This window comes from Homo sapiens, chromosome 5, assembly GCF_000001405.40.
Source record: "Homo sapiens chromosome 5, GRCh38.p14 Primary Assembly".
NCBI classification, from domain to species: Eukaryota; Metazoa; Chordata; class Mammalia; order Primates; family Hominidae; genus Homo; species Homo sapiens.
Window position 1 is genome coordinate 94,010,863 of NC_000005.10, and position 24,830 is coordinate 94,035,692.

At 40.8% G+C, this 24,830-nt stretch overlaps 1 protein-coding gene across 35 annotated transcripts in view, besides 1 other annotated feature; it reads right to left on the bottom strand.

The window, feature by feature from the left end:
• ARB2A (ARB2 cotranscriptional regulator A) overlaps positions 1-24,830 on the bottom strand; it is a 493,975-nt gene that overhangs the window by 393,138 nt on the left and 76,007 nt on the right. The gene's annotated exons all lie outside the window — the stretch shown is intronic.
• Positions 14,645-15,145: an enhancer, noted in NCBI's record as "H3K4me1 hESC enhancer chr5:93361212-93361712 (GRCh37/hg19 assembly coordinates)". NCBI's record gives its function as "activates a minimal SCP1, AML or CMV promoter by ChIP-STARR-seq in naive H9 embryonic stem cells {active_cell/tissue: H9 hESC(naive)}" and the evidence as "EXISTENCE:reporter gene assay evidence [ECO:0000049][PMID:30033119]".

Here is a 24,830-nt window from a genome sequence, read left to right on the forward strand (position 1 = left end):
GTTCATAATGGGTTGAGTGTAGAGTGTGTCAGAGGAAAATACGCTACACAGGTCAGCTGAGGCCTGTAAGCCATATCAAGGAACCTAAGTCACTGAGAAATATAAGGTAACAAAATCTGTCATTTTGGAACCTCATTTTGGTTTCAGAGAACAACTGGCAAAAAGCACAACTTGAGCAAGGGAGATGAGTCAGGAGAACTCCAATAGAGCACTTCACTCATCTCCATGTGACTAAATCTAAAGACATCATTACTCCTTCCTTTGTTAGATATCCTTCACATGGCTTTAAAGACTCAGTAGTCTCATGGTTCTTCTCTTGTCTCAATGAACTGTGCTTTTTGGTCCCCATTGCTGATTTCTCATCTCCTCTTCTTAATGATGAAGTGCTCCTCGGCCTAGTGCTTGGATTTTTTCTCTATATATTCTCATTCCTTTATTCAAGTCATCCTCACCAATGGCTTTAATTTTTTCCAAAGCACTATTACCATCTAATCACAATGTCTTTTACTTATTTATTTTGTTCATTATCTGTCTTCCCTTTCCCACAAGAATGTAATCTCTGTGAGGGAAGGGATGTTTGTATGTTTTGTTACTTATGTGCTCTCGGTACCTAGAATACTGCCTGATAGAGAGTAGACAGCCAAGAAATACATGTTAATAACTAAATGAATGAATGAGCAAAGGAAAGAAGCCTGGACTAAAGTGGACGCAACATGGGCACAAAAGATTAAAGGAATAACCAATATAATGTAGAAAGACTGGCTAGCTCTACAGATTGAGGGAAAGAAGGAACTCAAGCTTAACTTCCTGGTAGCTGGTGTGGGTGGAGTAGAAAAACGATAAATTCGGTTTTGCACATGTAGAATGTGAGGCACTGAATAAAATACTCAAGTGAAGACGTCTAGTCCAGAGCAGAAAGAGACAGGATGTAGATACAGATTTAGAGTCAAGTAGCACAGACATGGTATTAGAAATTATGAGAGTGAATTCATTTACCAAAGGAAATTGGACAGAGTGATTTAAAAAAAAAAAAAAAAGACCTAGAAATGAGCCCCGACAAATTAAAGGGTAGACAAAAAAAAAAAAAAAAAAAAAAGACGAGGCAAAGGACACGGAAAATGAGCGTTCAGATAGGTAAAGGGAAAACCAGAGACTAGTGTGACATGACAGCATAGTTAAGATAACATATTGAGAAGAAAAAAGTCACAATGTTAAATATTGCTAAGTGGGAAAAATAATCTTAAAAACATTAAGATGGGGCCAGGCGCAGTGGCTCACGCCTGTAATCCCAACACTTTGGGAGGCCAAGGCGGGCAGATCACAAGGTCAGGAGATCAAGACCATCCTGGCTAACACGGTGAAACCCCGTCTCTACTAAACATACAAAAAATTAGCCAGGCGTGGTGGTGGGTGCCTGTAGTCCCAGCTACTTGGGAGGCTGAGGCAGGAGAATGGCGTGAACCCGGGAGGCGGGGCTTGCAGTGAGCAGAAATCGCGCCACTGCACTCCAGCCTGGAGGACAGAGCGAGACTCCATCTCAAAACAAACAAACAAAACATTAAGATGGAAGGATAAAATTAGCGATTGTGACAGGAGCATTTTGTGTTTCTTCTCTTACTCTTGCACCTCTGCCTCTGCCATGAAAACATGCCCAGGCTAAGTTGCTGGAGGATGAGACAACTGGAACAGAGCTGAGTTGTCCGCACTGTGCTGACCAAAGCCATGCTAAATCAGCGGAACCTCAGTCAACTGCCAGGTACATCAGGGAGCGACTCAAGAGCAGAACTGTCCAGCCAAAGCCAGTCTAACCTGCTAACTCACGGGCTTGTAAGCAAAATAAATGCTTATTGCTTTTTTTTGTTTTTAATGAAAAGACTGTTATCAAGCAGAATTCTGGCTCTTGTGCTAGGAGCCAATACTATAACAATGGGTTTTTGAGAAAAGAAAAGCTTTGTATTGCAAATCTCCTCACAAGGAGACAGGAGCATCAAGCGCAAATCTGTCTCCTTGTGCCAGCTTTAAGGTAGTATTTGTATTAGAAAAGGGCTACGGGGTAGATGTTGGCATTAGCAGTGATTGGTAGAAAGAAACGGGAGGTCTGGAAAGTCTTCAGGCATGTGCAGTTATCTCCTCATGACTCCTCATAGGTCCCATGTGCAAATTCTGGGAGAGTTAGTATGAAACACGTGATGAAAATTCAGTCTGTGACACAAGCAAACTCGTTTTGCAGAAAGTCTAGTTGGTCATATTGGTTCCAACTGATTTCAACCAGTTTTTAAATCTCATGAACAGAGACAGTTTCAGTAAGTTGTTTTTTTTTTTTTTTTTTTTTCTGAGACAGAGTCTTGCTCTGTCACCCAGGCTGGAATGCAGTGGCGCAATCTCAGCTCACTGCAACCTCTGCCTCCCGGGTTCAAGCAATTTTCTGCCTCAGCCTCCTGAGTAGCTGGGATTACACGTGCCCGCCACCACGCCCAGCTAATTTTTGTAATTTTAGTAGAGACGGAGTTTCACCATCTTGGCCAGGCTGGTCTTGAACCCCTGACCTCGTGATCCACCTGCCTCAGCCTCCCAAAGTGCTGGGATTACAGGCGTGAGACATCGTGCCCGGCCAGTAAGTTGTTTCTTTATCTGCCATCCTGTAAACTCAAGAATTTCTGTTAGTTACTGGTTTCTTTAACTCTTTGGGGCATGATTTCACATGAGCATATTTAAATGCTGATGGGAAAAAGCCAATACAGAAAATACAATGAAAGATGAAGGGAGCAGATAATTTACAGAAGATGGGTCACAGCATAATAGTACATGCCAAAATAGGAAAAAAGGGAAAAGAGACACTAGGTATCCAGTTCCAAGATGCTGGAATATAAAGAAGCTAGTGTCACTCTCCCCTACAAAAAAAACAAAAACAAATACACAGCACTGAGATTATCACCAGCAGTATCCCAGAACTCAAACATGAGAATGAGACAGTTCCCAGGGTCACAGAGATGTAAGAGGTAGATAGTAAGAGAATTGGACTTCTATTTCTGTGATGCCTCTCCCCACATACTGCCCTGCACCTAGTACATGGGAAATTTCCCTCCAATTCACAGTTTCCACACTAGAAAAGGTGAGATTGAAGTGCACAACCAGATCCCCACCATCTTGGGGTCCCTGGCAAAAATCCTGCCCCTGCCTTAACCCATAAGAAGCATCATGAGTGCCAAAAGACAGACATATCCCTGAGGATAGGTAGAGACAAACAGGGGAAGTGGAACTATCATCCACAGCCCTGGATGATAGGCTTAACCAAATGAGACACCGAATCAAGAGTGGTAGTTCATCAGTATCACACTGTAGGAGGTGCATTCCACAGGTCACCTGGGCACAAACCATTAGCTAGCCTTCCAACACACTGAGATATCCTCTTTGAGGCCTCCCCCATTTGGGATGAGCAGCACTCCAATCATTTACTGGAACTGAGGTAAACATGGGCTTAAGGTACCACCTACAGCCAAAAACACGGCAGCAGCCTTGCAGTAAAGAATCTATCTCTAAGCAAATATATCAAATAAAAAACAAAAGAAGCCAAACAGAGAAGACTGGAATAACTAACTAATCCTTCAATGTGAGGACAAAGACATGCATCCACAAGAAACAACAGCAAACAGGGAACCATAACTTTCCCCAAATAGACAAATCAAGGAACTAGTGTCTGACCCTAATGAGATAGTAATGTATGAGCTTTCTGACCAAGAATTCAAAGTAGCAGTGTTAAGGCAGCTCATTGATATCCAACACAACACAAAAAAGCAATTCAGAAATTTATCACAGAAATTTAATGAGACTGAAATAATAATAATAAAATCAAATGAAAATCTTGGAACGGAGAAATACATTTGCTTAACTGAAAAACTCATTAGGGGCTATCAACAGCAAAATGGAACAATGAAAGGAAAGAATCAGAGAACTCAAAGACAGGCTATTTGAAAATACACAGTCACAGGAGGGAAGAAAAATGAAAAGGCATGAAGACCACCTACGAGATACAGAAAATTAACTCAAAAGACCAAATCTAAGGATTATTGGTGTTCAAGAGGGAGCTGGGCAAGAGCAAGGAGTAGAAAGTTTACTCAAAGAAATAGTAACAGAAAACTTTCCAAAACATGAGAAAGACATAAATATCCAGGTACATGAAGGCCAGAGAGTACCAAACAGACTTGACCGAAATAGGAGTACCCCAAGGCATATAATAATCTAACTGTCAAAAGTCGAGGACAAGGAAAGGATCCTAAAAGCAGCAACAGAAAAGAAGTAAATAACATGTAAAAGAGCTCCAAGTCTGGCAACAGACTTCTCAACAGAAACCATATAGGCCAGAAGGGAGTGAGATGACATTTTCAAACTGATGAAAGAAAAACAACTACCATCTAAGCATACTGTACCCAGCAAAGCTATCCTTCAAATAGGAAGGAACAATAAAGTCTTTCGTAGACAAACAAAAGCTGAAAGAATTCACCACCACCAGACTCATCTTACAAGAAACACAAGAGAGAGTTCTTCAATTTGAAAGAAAAAAAAAACAACTAATGTGCAAAAAGAAAACATTTGAAGGTATAAAATCGACAGTTAAAATCAAATACATGGACAAACCCAGAATACTCTAATACAGTAATTGTGGTGTACAATCTACTCATAATTCTAGTATGAAGCCCAAAAGTCAAATCTATCAAAAACAGTAATAGCTACAGCAAACTATTGAGAAAGGTTAAATAAAAATATGTAAATTGAGGCAATTAAAAGTCAAAATTGGGGGTTATGGAGTTAAAATGAAGAATTGTTTATTTATTTTCCTTGTGTATTTCTATTATTTTCTTTGTGATCTAAATAATTTGCTATAAGATTTTTTTTGTAAACCTCATGATAACCACAATGTAAAGACCAATAATATTCACTAAAATAAAAAGCAACAAATTAAAACACACTACCAGGGAAAATCACTTAATCACAATGAAAGACACTAAGTAAAGAAAAAAGCAAGAGAGGATTTGCAAAACAACCAGCAAACAAGCAACAAAATGGCAGTAGTAAGTGAATAATAACAGCACTGAATGTAACGAACACAATTCTCTAATTAAAAAGCACCCAGTTGCTCAATGGGTAAGAAACAAGACCCAATTATATACTGTCTACAACAAACCCATGTCACCTATAAAGACACACAGACTGAAAGTGAAGGGTGGAAAAAGATATTCCATGCAACTGTAAAGCAAAAAAGAGCAGAAGTAGTTGTACTTACATCAGATAAAATAGACTACAAATCAATGACTGTTAAAAGAGATAAACAAAGTCACTATGTAATGTAAAAGGGTCAATTCAGCAAAAGGAGATACACACACATACACACACACCTGGGGGTATAGTGTTAAGAAAGTATCTCATTTTGTGGATTGGTATCATTGGCTTCCTTAACTAAAGTATTATGAAAGTGGCTAACTTAGGAGCTGTATCTTTGGGTTTGAATACTGTAGAATAGAGAAACATGTTTGGGTTAATTTAGGAACCACAATTTACCAATGACAGTCACAAATGGATATAAATAATGTAAACATGCAGTAAACTCATCGTGATGGGTGTTTAGTCTCATAGACTTCTTAAAGGCTATCATAAAGTTTTTTTGTCTTGTCCCTCCTTTGTATACTAAGTGGAATAGACCAGATGAAGCAGCTAATATGTTACATGGTGTAAGCCAGCCATGCTGGATTGGCTTTATAATACCCAAAATGTTTACAACAAGCCCTTTATGCAGATGATGAGAAATGCAATTAAGGGAGCTCTTTTTATATGCCCTCCCTCCTTAAAATAACCTTACTATTACAAAATCAAGAAATGGTTCTAGAAGCCATATCAGATATGCTGTCTCAGCTTCTCCTTATGGGTTTTACAGATGCTAAGAAAATTAAAATAATTCACAAGTCAGGTAGGGATTGGGGGTTGGGAGGCAAGAAGATGGCAAAAGGACTTGTCTAAGTAGGGTTGAAGTTTTTAAGTGGTTACTAAGAAATGAGAGGGATCAAGGACTTGATGGGGTGAACATAAAATTTTAATGCAGCATTATTGAACGGTAGAAGACCAATCAGAGTTTCTGCCAGTTCCCTAGCACTGAAGGGCCTTAAACAAACCTAATTATTTACCCCACTTTGGAAGAATATGAGAAGCCAGAGGGCAAGATCATATTGAAGAGTATGTCCTCACTTCACTGGAGGTAATGATAGGACAGATGAACCAGGACAAAGATTGAATGGAATGGCCGGAGTCAATTTGTCTAATCTTGGCTGGCTACTGAAAGCAATATGCATGTGTAAGGTGCCAGAAAGACTTTACTGTTCCTTCATATTTGAAGGATAGCTTGGCTGGATACAGTATGCTTAGATAGTAGTTGTTTGTCTTTCATCAGTTTGAAAGAAAGGTAGGAAGAAAATTTCTGAGATTCCTTAATACAGGAGCCCAATGTGCTGTGTTTCCAAACATTTTTATAAAACTCAGTTTGGAAAGATATGGGAATGTTATGGGTGATGGAATTAAGATAAAAGTTTGGATAAGAATTAGAATGTATGAACAGATGTTATGTGAAGTATCCTTTACCTGAATTTATTACTGGAATGGATATGGTATCTGATGGGGAATGCTTCCCATACCTAGTACTGTAAAACAAGAAACACATAAGTTTGCCCTTCAGCCAGTAGTAACCAGATATGCTAAAAGAGTATATGCTAAATAGACTCCAGCCTATAAAGGTTGTTACTCTGAAACAACAGAGAATACCTGATGGATAAAAAGAGACTGTAGGTTAAATCAGTGACATATTAGAAGCTGTAGTGCTGATATGACAAATTCTCTGTACAGTAGTCCCACTATTACAGGACTAGTCCTGTGTAGCCTGGAAGTGGATGACTCATGGTGATATGGTTTGGCTGTGTCCCCAACCAAATCTCAACTTGAACTGTATGTCCCAGAATTCCCACATGCTGTGGGAGGGACCCAGGGGGAGGTAACTGAATCATGGAGGCCGTTCTTTTCCATGCTATTCTTGTGATAGTGAATAAGTCTCACGAGATCTGATGGGTTTATCAGAGGTTTCCGCTTTTGCTTCTTCCTCATTGTTCTCTTGCTGCCACCATGTAAAAAATGCCTTCCTCCTACCACCATGATTCTGAGGCCTGCCCAGCCATATGAAACTGTAAGTCCAATTAAACATATTTTCATTCCCAGTCTCGGGTATGTCTTTATCAGTGGTGTAAAAATGAACCAATATAGATGGAAACTAACAGTAAATGACTGAAGTCTCAATAAAGTGGTGCTGCCTATAGCAGCAGCAGTCCCCTGATGAGACATCAGCTGTACAAAGACTATAACAATCTAAAGAAGACCAATACTCAGTGACTGATCTTACAAATGCCTTTTTCTTGATATTTATCAGAAAAGTCAGCCACTATTTCCCTTCATCTGGGAAGGATCACAACTTACATTTGCTGTGTTGCCAAAGGATTATCTGAATTCACTAGCTTACTATCATAATTTGGTTGGGAGAGATCTGGACTTGGTGTAGGTCTCCACTATGATAATATACTGTGTTATTATACTACCAAAAACTGAAGAGCAAGCCAAGACTGATTTAAAAACAATGGTAACATACTTTGGGCAGTATGGCCATTTTCATGATATTGATTCTTTCTATCCATGAGCATGAAATGTTTTTCCATCTGTTTGTGTCCTCTCTCATTTCCTTGAGCAGCGGTTTGTAGTTCTCCTTGAAGAGGTCCTTCACATCCCTTGTAAGTTGTATTCCTAGGTATTTTATTCTCTTTGTAGCAACTGTGAATGGGAGTAGTATATAGATTCAGTGCTATCCCCATTTTCTAATTCTGTGATGAATTGACATTCATCACAGAATTAGAAAAAACTACTTTAAATTTCATATGGAACGAAAAAACAACCCATATAGCCAAGACAATCCTAAGCAAAAAGAACAAAGCTGGTGACATCACGCTACCTGACTTCAAACTATACTACAAAGCTACAGTAACCAAAACAGCATGGTACTGGTACCAAAACAGATATTTACACCAATGGAACAGAACAGAGATCTCAGAAATAACATCACACATCTACAACCATCTGATCTTTGACAAACCTGACAAAAACAAGCAATGGGGAAATGATTCCATATTTAATACATGGTGTTGGGAAAACTGACGAGCATATGCAGAAAACTGAAAATGGACCCCTTCCTTAAACCTTATACAAAAATTAACTCATGATGGATTAAAGATTTAAATGTAAGACCTAAAACCATAAAAACCCTAGAAGAAAACCTAGGCAATACCATTCAGGACATAGGCATGGGCAAAGACTTCATGACTAAAACACCAAAAGCAATGGCAACAAAAGCCAAAATTGACAAATGGGATCTAATTAAACTAAAGAGTTTCTGCACAGCAATAGAAACTGCAACCTATAGAATGGGAAAAAATTTTTGCAATCTATCCATCTGACAAAGAGCTAATATCCAGAATCTACAAAGAACTTAAACTTACAAGAAAAAAAACAACCCCATCAAAAAGTGGGCAAAGGATATGAACAGACATTTCTCAAAAGAAGACATTCATGCAGCCAACAAACATATGGAAAAAAGCTCATCATCACTGGTCACTAGAGAAATGCAAATCAAATGAGATACCATCTCACACCAGTTAGAATGGCAATCATTAAAAAGTCAAGAAACAACAGATCCTGGAGAGGATGTGGAGAAACAGGAATGCTTTTACACTTTTGGTGGGAGTGTAAACTAGTTCAACCATTGTGGAAGACAGTGTGGCAATTCCTCAAGGATCTAGAACCAGAAATACCATTTGACCCAGCAATCCCATTACTGGGTATATACCCAAAAGGATTATAAATCATTCTACTATAAAGGACATGACTTCACCCCTCCAGGCATCTGGTGTAATTATTTGAATACACAGTATTGTTCTCTTTTTCTGAACCTTCATCAAGGCACCAGTGTAATGTTGGATTTCCCTCACTGAGTACCTGTTCATTCATTCACATACCTTCAGCGTATGTTTATTGCAGCACTGTTCACAATAGCAAAGACTTGGAACCAACTCAAATGTCCATCAATGATAGACAGGATAAAGAAATGCGGCACATGTACACCACGTAATGCTATGTAGCCATAAAAAAGGATGAGTTCATGTCCTTTGCAGGGACATGGATGAAGCTGGAAACCATCATTCTCAACAAACTAACACAGGAACAGAAAACCAAACACCACATGTTCTCACTCATAAGTGGGAGTTTGGGAGTTGAACAATGAAAACACATGGACACGGGGCGGGGGGGGTAACATCACACACTGGGGCCTGTTGGTGGGTAGGGGGCTGGGGAGGGACAGCATTAGGAGAAATAACTAATGCAGATGACAGGTTGATGCGTGCAGCAAACCACCATGGCACATGTATACCTATGTAACAAACCTGCACGTTCTGCACATGTATGCCAGAACTTAAAGTATAATAATAATAAAAAAACAATGGTGACATACATGACTAACAGTGGTGGTTGGTAAACCAAGCAAAGATCCAAGGGCCTGCCCAAATGGTAAGTCTAGGTGATTGCCTGGGTAGGAGTCACTGATGCTACCAAACAGGCTACTAAGGATAAATGGTTGTGCCTTCCTACTCTAGAAACTAAACAAGAAACATAACACTTGGTTGGATGGTTGTGATTAGAGAGGGTACATATTGTAGATCTGATAATATTGCTAACTCCTATCCATAAAGCTATGTGAAAGAAGGTCATATTTAAATAGAGGCCTGAACCACAACAGGCTATGTCTGAACTACAAAAAGCCAGAGTAATACAATCAATACCTTTGGGCTCTTATGATCCACATTTAGATAAGATTTTGGAAGTGTCTACGGACTAAAACTTAAGGAAAAAGCCCATGATTGCCATCCAGCATTGACTGCTGGGATTTTAGACAAGGAAATTTCCAGATGTAGCAACATAGTGCATCCTGTTTGAAAAACACTGATGATGAGTTGATGGGTGCAGCAAACCACCATGGCACGTGTATCCCTATGTAATAAACCTGCATGTTCTGTACATGTATCCCAGAACTTACAGTGTAATAAATAAATAAAATAAGATAAAACACTGGCTTGTTATTGGTCACTAATTCAAACTGCCTCCACGACTAAAAAAAAAATCTTGAAAGCTGCAATACATATAACATTTTGGGTTATCTCAGAGAAACATTCATTCTAACAAGGAAGGCAGTACTGAGAATTTTCATAATAAAATGGAAATGGTTTATACAGGAAAAGAGAAAAGCAAGGAAATACTCATCATATTCACAAGCAGATAGCCTCCCTTAACTTATGACTGATTCTGGAGGCATCTGGAGAATTACTAGATCCTACTGCCACATATGTGTGCCCTTCTACCAGGCCCTAGTTGGCAAACAAAAAGCCACTTTATTTACAGATGGCAGTTCCAAGGTGATGGACAGCATCCTGTTTGGAAAGCTGCCATACTGTGACTAACTGATGGAAAAAAAACTCTGATCAAAGAAGGTAAGAATAAATCAGTTCACTGAGCTCAACTGCATGCTGTTATCCGTGCAGTAACAGAAGACATAGACAACAGCAAGAGCTCTGAAGTTTGTGTGTATTCTGACTCAGAGGTGGGAGTGAACAGCTTGGTTATACGGTCAAACAGATGGACAATAAGAAACTGGACTACTGAAGTAATGAAGAAATGGAGACTGGAGTTTGCAGTCCATGAGTGCTACCCATGAGTATAAGGTATGGTTCTACAGAAACTTAAGGAACTCATTAAAGTAGGACATGTTGATACACATCAAAATAATTCTCTTCCAGGCCAGGCGCAGTGGCTCATGCCTGTAATCTCAGTACCTTCGGAGGCTGAGACAGGTGGATCACCCGAGGTCAGTTCAGGACCAGCCTGGCCAGCATGGGAAAACCCCATCTCTACTAAAAATACAAAAACATTAGTTGAGAGTAGTGGCATGCACCTGTAGTCCCAGCTACTAGGGAGGCTGAGGCAGGAGAATCGCTTGAACTTGGGAGGCGGAGGTTACGGTGAGCCAAGATCGTGCCACTGTACTCCAGCCTGGACAACAGCAAAACTCTGTCGCAAATAATAATAACAATAATTATCTTCCAGAATCAAAGGATGATTAAAACCAACAGGCGGAGGTTGCAGTGAGCCAAGATCGTGCCACTGCACTCCAGCTTGAGCAACAGCAAGACTCTGTCCCAAATAATAATAACAATTATTATTATTATCTTCCAGAATCAAAGGATGATTGAAACCAACAAGTGAATACCTTAGGGTGCTCACTCCAGTTAGCCACTTGGGTTCATAAAGTGTATGGACACAGATGGTGGCTGATAATCAGCATATTCCTCTTGTATTCTCTGAGGCACAAAATGGCAACATGAACAGTCCAATCTACCAGTCAGAAAGACTGCATACAATGATGAGACAGATTCCCTAGGGTAAAGGCTCTGCACATAGCTGGAAAACAAACTACGTTGGACCACTGCCTGTAGCCCTAGGAGGCTGTCATGGGTGTGACAGGAAAAGACATTTACTCTGGACTGGGCTTTGCATACCTGGTAATAGACACCAATACTCAAAACACAATAAAAGGTTTGGAGCAAATAATACTATACTAATTTGGAAAGTTGAGTTACATTTGTTCAGTTATACCTGTTATATTTGTACATACTGTCCAAATATGGGCAAAGAGAGAACTCATGAAGTTGACACATCAATTTGCTTATCCTCAAAATAGGATGGAACAGGAAATTGAAAGTAGAAATCAGAGAACTGCAGTGGGCAATTGAAATACTTGTTATCAAAAGTAGGAGAAAATAAAGGCAAGAAGCACTGGCTTGTAGGCCTTCACAAGTGTACACTCAGTCAACACAAATCAGACCATGGGAAGGTCATGCCCCATGAGTTAGGATTCTTCTGCTTTTGTGAGGGATTTGAGGATGATGACGTTAAGGAGGATACAAGTATGACCATACAATTCTTCCCCACATCACCTCAACACTCATTTCCTACCCAATAAAGTAATTCCAGAACTAGGACTTGAACTGTGAGTGCTGGAAGCAGAGATAATCCTTAACCAAGAAACTGATTATACCTTTAAATCTTTATGCCAGAATATCTAAGGGCCTGATAGGATGAATTCTGCTTTCACCCAATCTGACAAAATTGCAGTCAACCATTGTATGCAGCTATAATGTCCAGTGGCCAAGATAGCCCACAAGTTCTATATCTGTGTAATCTTACCCTATATGAATGGGAACGTACTGAAGGGGGAGCACTTGGCAGACCCATATCACTATCAGCACCATAGATGAGCCCAATATCCCTTCCAAGGATAGAATGGTTTGACTTAAAATCAATGATAAATGGGAAGAAGAAATAATAGCTGAAGGTATATGAATGAATGAACAGGTACTCAATGAGGGAAATCCAACATTACACTGGTGCCTTGATGAAGGTTCAGAAAAAGAGAACAATATTGTGTATTCAAATAATTACACCAGATGCCTGAAGGGGTGAAGTCATGTTTGCCAACACCACCTCTGCTTTGGAACCTGATGTGGTCTAATAGTAACCTGCAAATCTGAGTGGCATCAATTTGGAGACATTTTGTTCATTCACTACAATGATGAATAAAACCAACTGCTGATGACTGAATGGAACTCCAGTAACGTACCAGTATTATTTTTTTATTTTTCAGGTTACATCTACTACAAAGGATATCATTTGGGAAGAATTTCCAGAAACTGCTCCTGGCTGGGCTATCAAATTATGCAGTATACAACTCCCAGAGGACTGATCACTGTGTAACTGTAAGCCTCAATGACTAAAAGCTTAGAAAGGTTCCTGGTTACGATGGACAAAATAGAGCTTCTACATGCCTGTCGTGCCATAGTGTGCTGAAATACATATCAACCTTGTTTGTGGGTAGAAAGCTATAAGACAAGATAGAAAGAAATGGTGGGTTTCTGGTGGGAATAAAGCAGTAGGCATTAACTGGTGAGCTTGAATCCCCACAGGAAATGACTTCACGTAGAGCCTGAGAAAGACTTGTGAGGTCTTATGGCATACTCAGACTAAATCACATCTAGGTATGATCATTATATGTGATGGTTAATTTTATGTCAATTTAGATGGGCCACATTGTACAGATATTTGGTCAAACACTATTTTGGATGTTTCTGTGAGGATGTTTTTAGATGAGAGTCACATTTAAATTGGTGTTTTTTTGAGTCAAGCAGATTGGGTGAACCTCATTTAATCAGTTAAAGGCCTTAGCAAAATAAAGGCTGACCTCACCCAAGCAAGAGGGAATTCTGCCAGCAGACTGCCTTTGGACTCAAACTGCAACTCATTCCTGAGTCTCCAGCCTGCTGGCCTCCCCCATCAGATTTTGGATTCGCTGGCCTCCATAATCACATGAGCCAATTCCTTAAAATACATGTCTTTATGAATGTGTGTATATGTGTTTATATAAACATATATACATATTCATCCTGCTGGTTCTGTTACTCTGGAGAACCCTAACTATCCATCTAGCCTTAGTATGATGAACTCCCTCCCCAGCCCGCCACCCCACCACCACACACCTAGTAAAGGTAGAACGATATATTAAACACTAAGGGAAATAATGTGTTATACATGCTACAAAAGAATAAAAGAATTATTTTAAAAGCACACAAGACACAAAGGAGAGAGAGGTCATTCTAGCCTATGTGGATAAGAGAAAGCTTTCTTAGAGGTTGATCTAAGCTTGAAAGATGAATAAATATTCTGCAAGCAGATGGGAGGGAGGTGGTGAAGCAGCATCCTTGGCACCAAATGCTCTCTGCCTGAGTAGAGGCCCAGAGATATAAAACAGCATGATAAACTAAAAAACGCAAGTAGGTTTATATAGCTCATGCACAGGGTGAAAAGGGACTGGGACAAGAGGGAGGCAAGAGATGAAGCTGGAGAAATATAAAAGGGCCAACTCATGAAAGGTCTGATATGACAAGGCAGGAGTTTGAATTTCACTTTGCAGAGAAACACATAATGGCTCTAAAAACATACCAACCTGACCAAAGATGCAACTTTAAAACATACTTCTGATAGCAGTGTTAAGGTTCAGAAAGATAAAAATGGTGGGAGCAAAGCAGGCATAGATGGACTACATTGGAATTAAGTTTCTTAAGTCATCTTGGTCTGCCATAACAAAATACCAGGTACACAGGGTAGCTTAAATAACAGACATTTATTTCTCACAGTTCTGGATGCTCAGAAGTCCAAGATCAAGGTGCTAGCCAATTTGGTTCCTGAGGAGGGCTCTCTTCCTGGCTAATGGATGGCTGCCTTCTCACTATGTCCTCATGTGACATTACTTCAGTGTATGCACACATATAGACACCTCTCTCTTCTCCTTCTTGTAAGGCCACCAATCCTATCATATTAGTACCCGACCCTTTTAACTTCATTTAACCTTTAGCTCCTAAAAGCTCTACCTCAAAATACAATAGCATTGGAGGTTAAGGCTTCAACATATGAATGGCGTCAGAGATGGGGATACCCAGTCCAATAACAGTAAGGAATTACAGTAATCTAGTTAAGAGACTAAAGACCTAAGCGAAACCAATAGCAGTGAAGATGGAGAAAAATGTGATGCTAAGAATGTAAAATGAAAAGACCTGTTCACCAGTTAAATATAAATAGTGAAAAGAATATGAAGTTTCTGCTTTAAATAACTGAATGAATGTTAGTACTGTCCATTTAAACAAGGAAAGCAGGTTAATAATGATATGGGATTTTTCTCAGTCACTTTGCCAGCCAGAGACCTCTGGCCAGTGACGCCCCTGCCGAGGCCTTGCTTGGGCCCAGGTACACCACAGAAGATGCTCTGTCCGATCAGACCACAGGGCCACACCCAGCCTGCACTCTGGCATGGATCCTGCAGCGGACCTTGGCCATGTGAGTGAGCAAGTGCAAGGTCCAGCTGGCTATTCCAGGCAAGGGCCAGCAAAGAAGCGGGCTCCATGTGGGGCCTGCAGCTAGACCAGGTGTGTTGCAAGCTAGTCCTGCAGTGGACTCTGGTGTCCAGATAAGGGGAATGCAGTGGTGTCCAGGCAGGGGTGACCACAATGCTAAAGCTCCAGAGAGGATGTTACAGCATGCTAATTAGCTTTTTCAGTCCTACCGTCTGCAGCCTGATGAACAGCAGTAAATTAACAGCCCTGTCAGCCCCTAGCCTCACTCTACCCTGCAGCTCCAGGGCTGGCTTGGCCCTGCTGCTTCCCGTCGTATGGGGTGGCTGCCCTCTGCTGGCATAGGGCAGTGGGCCACAACTGTTATATCCTTTGGTGTACCCACATTCGGTGGGTCTTGAGTTCTTGTCCTGTGTCCAAGAAGAAGGAGGGCATGCTGACAATTGAAGGGCGATGAGGGCAAAGAAGAATTTCATTGGGTGAAGAAACAGTTCTCAGTGGAGAAAGGACATGAGGATGATTTTTCTCCCAGTGTGGCTGAGTCCAGGGCTTTTCGGGCTCAGAATGGGGGAATGTGTGCTGATTGGTTTGGTTTGTGAGTATGCAAAAAAGGTTAAAACAAAAGTACCACTCAAAGGTGGGCACAACAGTGTAAAGAACCAATTAGGGAAGAGTAGGTATATGTAAAATAGGTGAAGGGTGGGGATCAATCAGAGTAAAGTACGCCAAATGGGAAGACAAGTTCTCAATCTGGTCCCTGGATTTGACCTGTAGCTTGGCTTTCAGGCTTTAAACTGTCTTTGGCTTGAAGGTTGGGTTTAAACTGTCTTTGGCTTGAAGGTTGGACCCGCCCCATCTGCCTAGGATTTGTCTGCCACATGTTGTTATCAATAGCCCAGCCAAACCCTAGCAGCTTCAGACTCTGAAAATGCAGGTCTAGTGAAGAGCAGAAGTGAAAAGTCAGACAAAAGAGGATTCCTGAAGATCTATCTACTGAAGTCTCAATCATCACCGAAGGGTTTGAGATTTTTACTCTACTTACAAGCTAATCAGTTAGCCTGTTACTGTTTCAAGGATGCTGGCAGTAGACATAAGACTCCTGGGTCAAAGGACTTTATTCACCACAGCACAGCATCAGCTTATTTGCACTGGTTCCTTGAAACCCAACATCCTTGGGGGTAATAAGATAAGAGTCTAGCTAGATGGTGTGTAGTGGTAGAGGTCGAAGTTGAAGAATGCCAAGCTTGGGAGCTGTGATATTGTGAACTATATATTTGGTCTTCAACCATGGTATACAACTCCTAAAATCCTCAGAAATTCCTACCTGATGTCTTTTTGTATGCTAATGAGATGACTGCTGGCAGGAAGCCCTTAGGTAATGGGGGCCAGTCACCAGAAAGACAAAGGCATGATTAGAAGGTTAGGACTTTCATTCCCCACCCTCACCTCCAAGGAGGAGAGAGGGGCTGAAGGATAAGTTGATCATCAATGGACAATGGTTTAATCAGTCAAGCCTAGGTAATAAGGCTTCCATAAAACCCCAAAAGGAAGGACTGGGTCTGGAGAACTTCTGAATAGTTAAATAAGGAAGGACTGGGTCTGGAGAGCTTCTGAATAGTTAAACACACAGACGCTGACAGGAAGGGGAACAAGAATTCATTAATGTACCCCCAGCCAGTAGGGCGGTACACAGGGACAGAAGCTCCAGTGGTTAGGAAGCTAGGACACTTCTATTTCTTAATCTGGCTGTTTATTTTTATCCTTTAAAATATCCTTTGTAATAAACAGGCAAACATGTTTCCCTGAATTCCGTGAGCCACTCTAGCAAATTAAACCCAACGAGGGGGTTCATGGGACCTGAAACTTGGGGTTGGTCAGATGTCCCAGAGCCTGGACTTGAGACTAGTGGGAAGGAAGGGGTGATCTTGTGGGACTGAGCCCTCAATCTGTGGTTTCAGAGGCTATCTCCAGGTAGATAGCATCAGAAGTGAATTGAATTAGAGGACCCCCCAGCTGGTGTCCATTTGCAAAACTGATTGCTTGCTTGGTGTATAGAAAGAAACACCCACACATGTGGTCAAAGAAGTCTTCTGTGTCGATTGTTGTTGTGTTGTAAAAGCAAAGAAAAAACAGTTTGAGGTTTTTCCACTCACAAGAGCCTCTTATTTTATTGCAAGCTGTAAGCAAGCCTGTTCTTTGTCCCAGATAGACATTATCTCATCTCTCAAGATTGCTCTCTACAAACACAACCCTGAGAAATGGCCCAGGTAAAAAGCAGTCAGGGCCTTTCATTCTTGGCAAATCCAGTAAGACATGTGGGAGCATGAGAAAATCATGGAGGACTGTCTCTCACAACACTCATCCACCTGTTTCATTCCCTCCATGATCCCAAATGCAATACAGCCAGCAGCCCTGGTATGTATGCTCCAGGCAAAATATTAACTGACATACCTCTTTTAAAAATGGAATAAACTATTTAGAGACAATTCAAGTGCTAGAATGGATGTTGTTACCCCAGAAAAAAAGTATTCCAAAGTCTAGTATTGAAAGGGACCAAAATAAAACAGAATTACCCAAGAACACTAAAATGAAGCCTGCCAGTAAACTATCCTCACTCACATACAAGAACCTCCTTCAAGCTTCCTAAAACTTTATTCTCCTTTTCTCTTAATATTTAATTTTGAAAATGTTCAAACATATAAAAACGTTGAAAAATAGTACAAAAACCACCTTTACACCAACCACTTTGAATGAACAACTGTTAACATTTTTGCCAAAAATGCTTCTTTCTATTTCTGTGGGGTTTTTTTCTCTGTTTTTAAAGAAGCATTTAGAAATAACTTTCAGGCATCATGACTTTCTCCCTAAATAGTTTACATGTATCTCCTAAGAATAAGAACATTTCTCTACATAACCATAATACCGTTATCTCCCTTAAGAAACTTAATTCTTTCCCAATTGCCCCTAAAAGTATAGGTATTTTTATTAGTTTTTAAACCAAAATCACAGCAAGGTTCACACACTGCATTTGGGTGGCGGGGGGAGGGAGTGTTTTGTTTTATTTTGTTTTGTTTGAGATAGAGTCTTGGTCTGTCACCCAGGCTGCAGTGCAGTGAAGCAATATCCGCCTCCCAGAATCAAGCGATTTTCCCACCTCATCATTCCGAGTAGCTAGGATTATGGGAGCATGCCACCATGTCCAGCTAATTTTTGTATTTTTAGTAGGGATGGGGTTTTGCCATGCTGGCCAAGCTGGTCTCAAACTCCTGACCTCAAGTGATTCACCCGCCTCAGCCTCCCAAGGTGCCTAGATTACAGGTGTGAGCCACTGCATCTGGCCTGCATTTGGTCTTCATATCTCCTTAATCATTTTCATGTGTAACAGTCTCCCTGATTTCCAACACATTCATCTTAACATTTTTAATGACATTTATGTTTTGAAGAGACCAGGCCAATTATCTTTTCGTATGTCCTGTGTTCTAGATTTGTCTAATTGTGTCCTTGTGATGTTATTTAACTTTTCATCTATCCCCTGTATTTCATTAAAATTGGAAAATGTACCTAAAGGTCTGAATACAGTCAGATTCAACTTATAAAAGAAGATTCACAGTTAATGCTATGTGCTTCAAGTTGCATCACATCAGAAAACACACAATGTCAGGCTGCTGTATTATCAGTGATCCTAACTTTGTTCACTTAGGTAAAGTTGTAACAGCTAAATCTCTGTTGTAAGGTATATTCTTCCCTACACAATTCCAATAAACCTTGAGGTGATATTTTGGTACTGTGCAAATATTCTATTCCTTCATATCCTTTCACCTAAAGGAATTAGTGTCCATTAGTGATCCTAATCTGAATCAATTATTTCAGTGAAGAGCTGTATAATGGCGTATTAATCTGTTTTCACTCTTAAAGACATACCCAAGACTGGATACTTTATAAAGGAAAGAGGTTTAATTGACTCACAGTTCCACATGGCGGGGGAGGCCTCACAATCATGGCGGAAGAGCAAGGGGTGTCTTACGTGGCAGCAGACAAGAGAGAGAGAGTTTGTGCAGGGAAACTCCTCTTTATAAAACCATCAGATCCTCACTATCTTGAGAACAGCACAAGAAAAACTTGCCCTCATGATTCATTTACCTCTCACCGGGTCCCTCTGATGACACATGGGAATAACGGGAGCTACACAACTCGAGATTTGGGTGGGGACACAGCTAAACCATATCAATTGGTTGTCTATTACTGTTGTAACAAGCAACACAATTTAGCTTCTCACAATTTATAGATCAGAAGTCTGGGTTGATTCCACTGGTTTCTCTGCTACAGGTTTCAGAAGGCTAAAATCAAAGTATCAGTCAGCTGGGCTCAAATCAGGAAGTTCTGGGGTCTGCGTCCAAGATCATTCAGGTTGTTGGCAAAATCCTGTTTATTGTAGTTGTAGGACTGAGATCCACATTTCCTTGCAGAGTCATCTGGGGGACAACCTTAGCTTCCAGAGGCCTCTTTCTGATCCTTGGGCATGGGCCCCTATATCTCAGTGCCAGCAACAGTGCAATGAATCCTTCTCATGTGTGGAATCTCTGTGGCTTCCACTTCTGCTGCTACAACTCCATAACAGACTCTTCTGCCTTCCTCTTCTGCTTTTAATAGCTTAAGTGATGCGCTGGGTCTACCTGGATAATCCAGCATGCTATGGTTTGGTTGTAATTTGTCTCCATCAAAACTCATGTTGAAATTTAATTGCCAATGTAACAGTATTGGGAGGTGGAGCCTTTAAGAGGAGATTAGGTCCTTAAGTTTAGATTAATGTCTTTCTTGCAACAATGGCTTAGTTTTTGAGCAAATTGATTAGTTCTTGAAGGAACTGATTAATTCTGAAGAGAATGGCTTGATATAAAACGAGGTTGCCTCTCATATTTTGCCCTTTTGGAACACCTGTTTCCTTTTCCACTCCTCCACCATGTTATGATGCAGTACAAGGCCCTCAACAGAAGCCAAACAGACAATGGCTGCATGCTTCTTTAACCTCCCAGTCTCCAGAATTGTGAGCCAAATAAATCTATTTTCTTCATCAATTATCCAGTCTCAGGCATTCTGTCATAGCAACACAAAACAGACTAAGATAGAAAACTGGTACTGGGTAGTGAGGTGTTTCTATACCTGAAAATATGGAAGCAGCTTTGGAACTGAGTAATGGGTAGTGGCTGGAAGAATCTGAAGGAGTAAGCTAGAAAAAAACCTCTATTGCTGTGAATGGAGCACTAAGGACAATTCTGGTGAGCGCTCAGAAGATGAAAAGAACTAAGGAATACCTTAAGTGGTCATAACCAGAATGCTGATAGACATATGGACAATAAAGGCCATTTTGATGAGGTCTCAAATGGAAACAAAGAATATCTTACTAAGAACTGAAGTAATGGTCATGCTTGTTATATAGTAACAAACAACCTGGCTATACTGTAGCCATGCCCTAGGACTTAATAGAGGGCCAAACTTAGGGCACTGGAATAGCATATATGGTTGAAGAAATGTCTAGGCAGCAAAGCAGTTAGAAGTAACTTCTTACAGCGAGATGCTAGAGAAAGGAAGCAGAGCAAAAATAATTGGAAAATTCCCAGCAAGGATTAGTAGTAGAGAATGAAATAGCATGTTCAGGAGAGGAAACCAAGGGTGTAGCTCACAGGCCATTTGCTAAAAGAATTAATATGGATAAACAGAAGTCAGGTACTAACCATCAAAGCAATGACTAAAAGGCACTAAAAGCATTGCAGAGATCTTCTAGGCCACCCTTTAAGTGTCTGCTCTCCAAATGTCTGCTTCCTGAATTCCAGTGCAGCTCTCCTCACCCATTCCAGCCATTACTCAATCAGCCCATGTGTGGCTTGACTTGCTGCTCCAAAAAGTACAAGCCATAAACCTTTGTGGCACAATGCCATGGCTCAAGTGAACCAAGATGCCACTTGTGCTGCTGCTCTCAAACCATAAGCTCTGATGGTGTCAGCATGGTGCTGTCTCTGCAGATGTGCAGAGGTGTGCAGGCTGGAGGATTATGTTAGCTTCTTCCTAGATATTAAAGGATGCAGCAAACTGCCTGGGAGCCCAGGCAGAATCCTAATGCAGGAATGGAGCCCCAACAGAGAATCCCTAAAAGAATGCATAGTGGAGTGACAGGTACAAAGCTGCCACCTTCAAGACCCCAGAACTGTAGAGTGACCATCAACATGTAACTCTGTGTTAGGCTGTTTTTGCACTGCTTAAAGTTTATAAAGAAAAGAGATTTAATTGGCTCATGGTTCTTCAGGCTTTAAAGGAAACATGGTGCTGTCATCTACTCGACTACTGGGGAGGCCTCAGCAATCTTACAATCATGGCAAAAGGCAAAGAGGAATCAGGTGTCTCACATGGCAAGAGCCAGAGCCAGAGACAGATGAGGAGGGGTGCCAAACACGTTTAAACAAGCAGATCTTGTGACAGCTTACTATTGCAAAATAGACACCACGGGAATGGTGCTAAACCATTCAGGAGAAATCCACCCCCATGATCCAATCGCTTCCCATCAGGCCCCAACTCCAATACTGGGGATTACAAGACAACATGAGATTTGTTGGGGACATATATTCAAACTACATCAAACGCCAGCCTGAGAAAGCCACAGGCTCAAGCACACAACCCCAAACTGAGAGACAAGCACGTGCGCTCCACCCAGCAAAGTCATAGGGGCAGGACTTCCCAAAACCAAGAGAGCCCATCCCTCACCTTGCAATCATCCTACAATTGTGTCCTGGAGGCAGCACATAAAGTGAGAGATGATTCTGGAGTTTTAAGATTTAATACCTGTCCTGTAGGTTTCAGACTTGCTTTGAGGTGGTTACTCCTTTCTTTCTGCACATTCCTCCCTTTTGGAAGGAACATTTATGATAAAGGTTAGGCTTTGTGTCCCTACCCAAATCTCATCTTGAATTGTAATCCCCAAGTGTTGAGGTAGAGAACTGATGGGAGGTGACTGTATCATGGGGGTGGTTCCCTCCATGCTGTTCTCATGATAGTGAGTGAGTTCTCATGAAATCTGATGGTTTTAGAAGTGTTTTGGTAGTTCCTCTCTTGCTCACTTCTTCTCTTCTGCCTGCCACCATGTAAGACATGCCTGCTTCCCCTTCTGCCATGACTGTAACTTTCCTGAGGCCTCCCCAAACATGTGGAACTGTGAGTCAATTAAACCTCCTTCCTTTACAAATTACCCAATCTTGGGTGTTTCTTTATAACAGTGTGAGAATATACTAATACAGTTTACCCCATGCCTGTTCTGCCATTGTATTTTGGAAGCAGATAACTTGTTTCTTATTTTACAGGCTCACAACCAGAAGGAGTGTGCCTTGAGTCTCACATGAGACTTTGGAATTTGGACTTATGAATTGGTGCTGGAATGAGTTAAGATTTAGGGGACCTTTGTGATGAAATGAATATATATATATATGTGATTTTGTTTGTTTTGAGATGGAGTCTCGCTCTGTCACCAAGGTTGTAGTACAGTGGTGTGATCTCAGCTCACAGCAACCTCCTCCACCCTAGTTCAAGCAATTCTCCTGCCTCAGCCTCCCGAGTAGCTGGGATTACAGACACCTGCCACCATGCCTGGCTAATTTTTGTATTTTTTGCAGAGACGGGGTTTCACCATGTTGGCCAGGCTGGTCTCAAACTCCTGACTTCAAGTGATCTGCCCATCTCGGCCTCCCACAGTGCTGGGATGACAGGCATGAGCCGCTGTGCCTGGCCAAAATGAATGTATTTTGCATGTAAGAAGGACATGAGTTTTGGGGAGACACAAATGGAGTGCTATGGTTTGGATGTAATTTGTCCCTGACAAAAGTCACATTTACATTTAATTGCCAATGAAATAGTATTGGGAAGTGGTGCCTTTAAGAGGTGATTAGGTCCTTAAGGTAGATTAATGTCTTTGTCTCAAGACTGGGTTATTTCTCAGGACTGGATTAGTTCTTGTGGGAATGGGCTAGTTCTCTAGCAAGCAGGTTGTTACAAAGTGAGGTTGTCTCTTGTGTTTTACACTTTTGGAATGTCTGCTTCTCTCTCCCTTTATGATGCAGCATGAGGCCCTCACCAGAAGTTGAGCAGATGCCAGTGTTATGCTTCTTGCACTTCCCAGCCTCCAGAATTATCAGCCGAATAAACAACTTTTCTTTATAAATTACCTAGTCTCTGGAATTCTGTTATAGCAAAACAAAATGGGCTAAGACATAGGATAATATCCGTATCTTAAGGTCAGCTATCTGGTAACCTTAATTATATATTCCAAGTCCCTTCACAGCTGTACTTAGGCTCGTGTTTGATTGAGTAAGCAGGAAATGGAAATTTTTGAGGAACATGTTTAGAGGTATATCTACCACACAGGGCAAAAGGTTGATTTTTCTAATTCTATCATATTCATTACCTTCATCAGACTGTATTCTTTGATAAGGAAGAACATTCCTTCCTTACCTGCAAATAAATCACAGTTCTTCATAAAGAGGCCAACTGCTTAATTCTTTCCCTCTGGTTACCAATTTTCAGATAACTTTAATCTAAAAATGGCAAATTGGCTATATTTTTAAAGAGATTATGAAACCATGACTTTGCTTATTAAATGTTTTATTATCAGTAAGAACCCTTATTCTGTTTTATCCTCAAATTGCACCAACTTTGCCCAAAAGAAGCACTTTCTAGTTGGTTCTTCTGTCCTTTTCACATGCGTCCATTAGACTGAATGTTTGATTTCTGACAAGGCACAATGTTGTACGTAGGCCAGGCGTCCCAAACCCCCAGGCCACAGACCAGTGCTGATTGGTGGCCTGTTAGGAACCGGGCTGCACAGCAGGAGGTGAGCACCAGGTGAGGGAGCATTACTGCCTAAGCTCCACCTCCTGTCAGATCAGTGGCAGCATAATATTCTCATAGGAACATAAACCCTACTGTGAACTGTACACGCAAGGGATCTAGGTTGCACACTCCTTATGAGAATCTAACTAACGCTTGATGATCTAAGGTGAAACAGTTTCATCCCAAAACATCCCCCACCCCCAGTCCATGGAGAAACTGTCTTCCATGAAACCAGTCCCTGGTGCCAAAAAGGTTGGGAACTGCTGTCTAGGGCTCGTCTTTTATTTTCTTAGTTCCAAATTTGGAATCCGCCTTTTCTCCAAGGAGCCCTGGCTTTTTACTAAGCAATGCATTTAGGAACCAGGATCTTATACATACATATACATATACATATACATATACATATACATATACATATACATATACATATACATCACTATATGTATGCATTGCTACTAGGGAGTCAGTACTTCCAAGCCCTTTTGGTGAGTAAATCTAGGAAATATATTTTTTAAACATAATGAGTTTATGGTGAAATTCCCAAAATATTGTTATCTGCTTTGATTTTATATTCATACCTTTCTCTAATCCTGAAAATCTTGATTCATAATTACATTTATATATTTATTTGCTTTAATATACCATATTGATAAACTTGTTTCAAAATCATTGCACCACTATCAATGTAACAGTAAAACCAGTAAGTTAATTTTAACATTTCACTGGCCATTGTTTTTATCCTGAGGATATATCCAGCAAAGTAAGGACCTGGAGCCAACCCAACTGCCCATCAATGTTAGACTGAATAAAGAAAATGTGGCACATATACACCATGGAATACTATGCAGCCATAATAAAAAAGAATGAGTT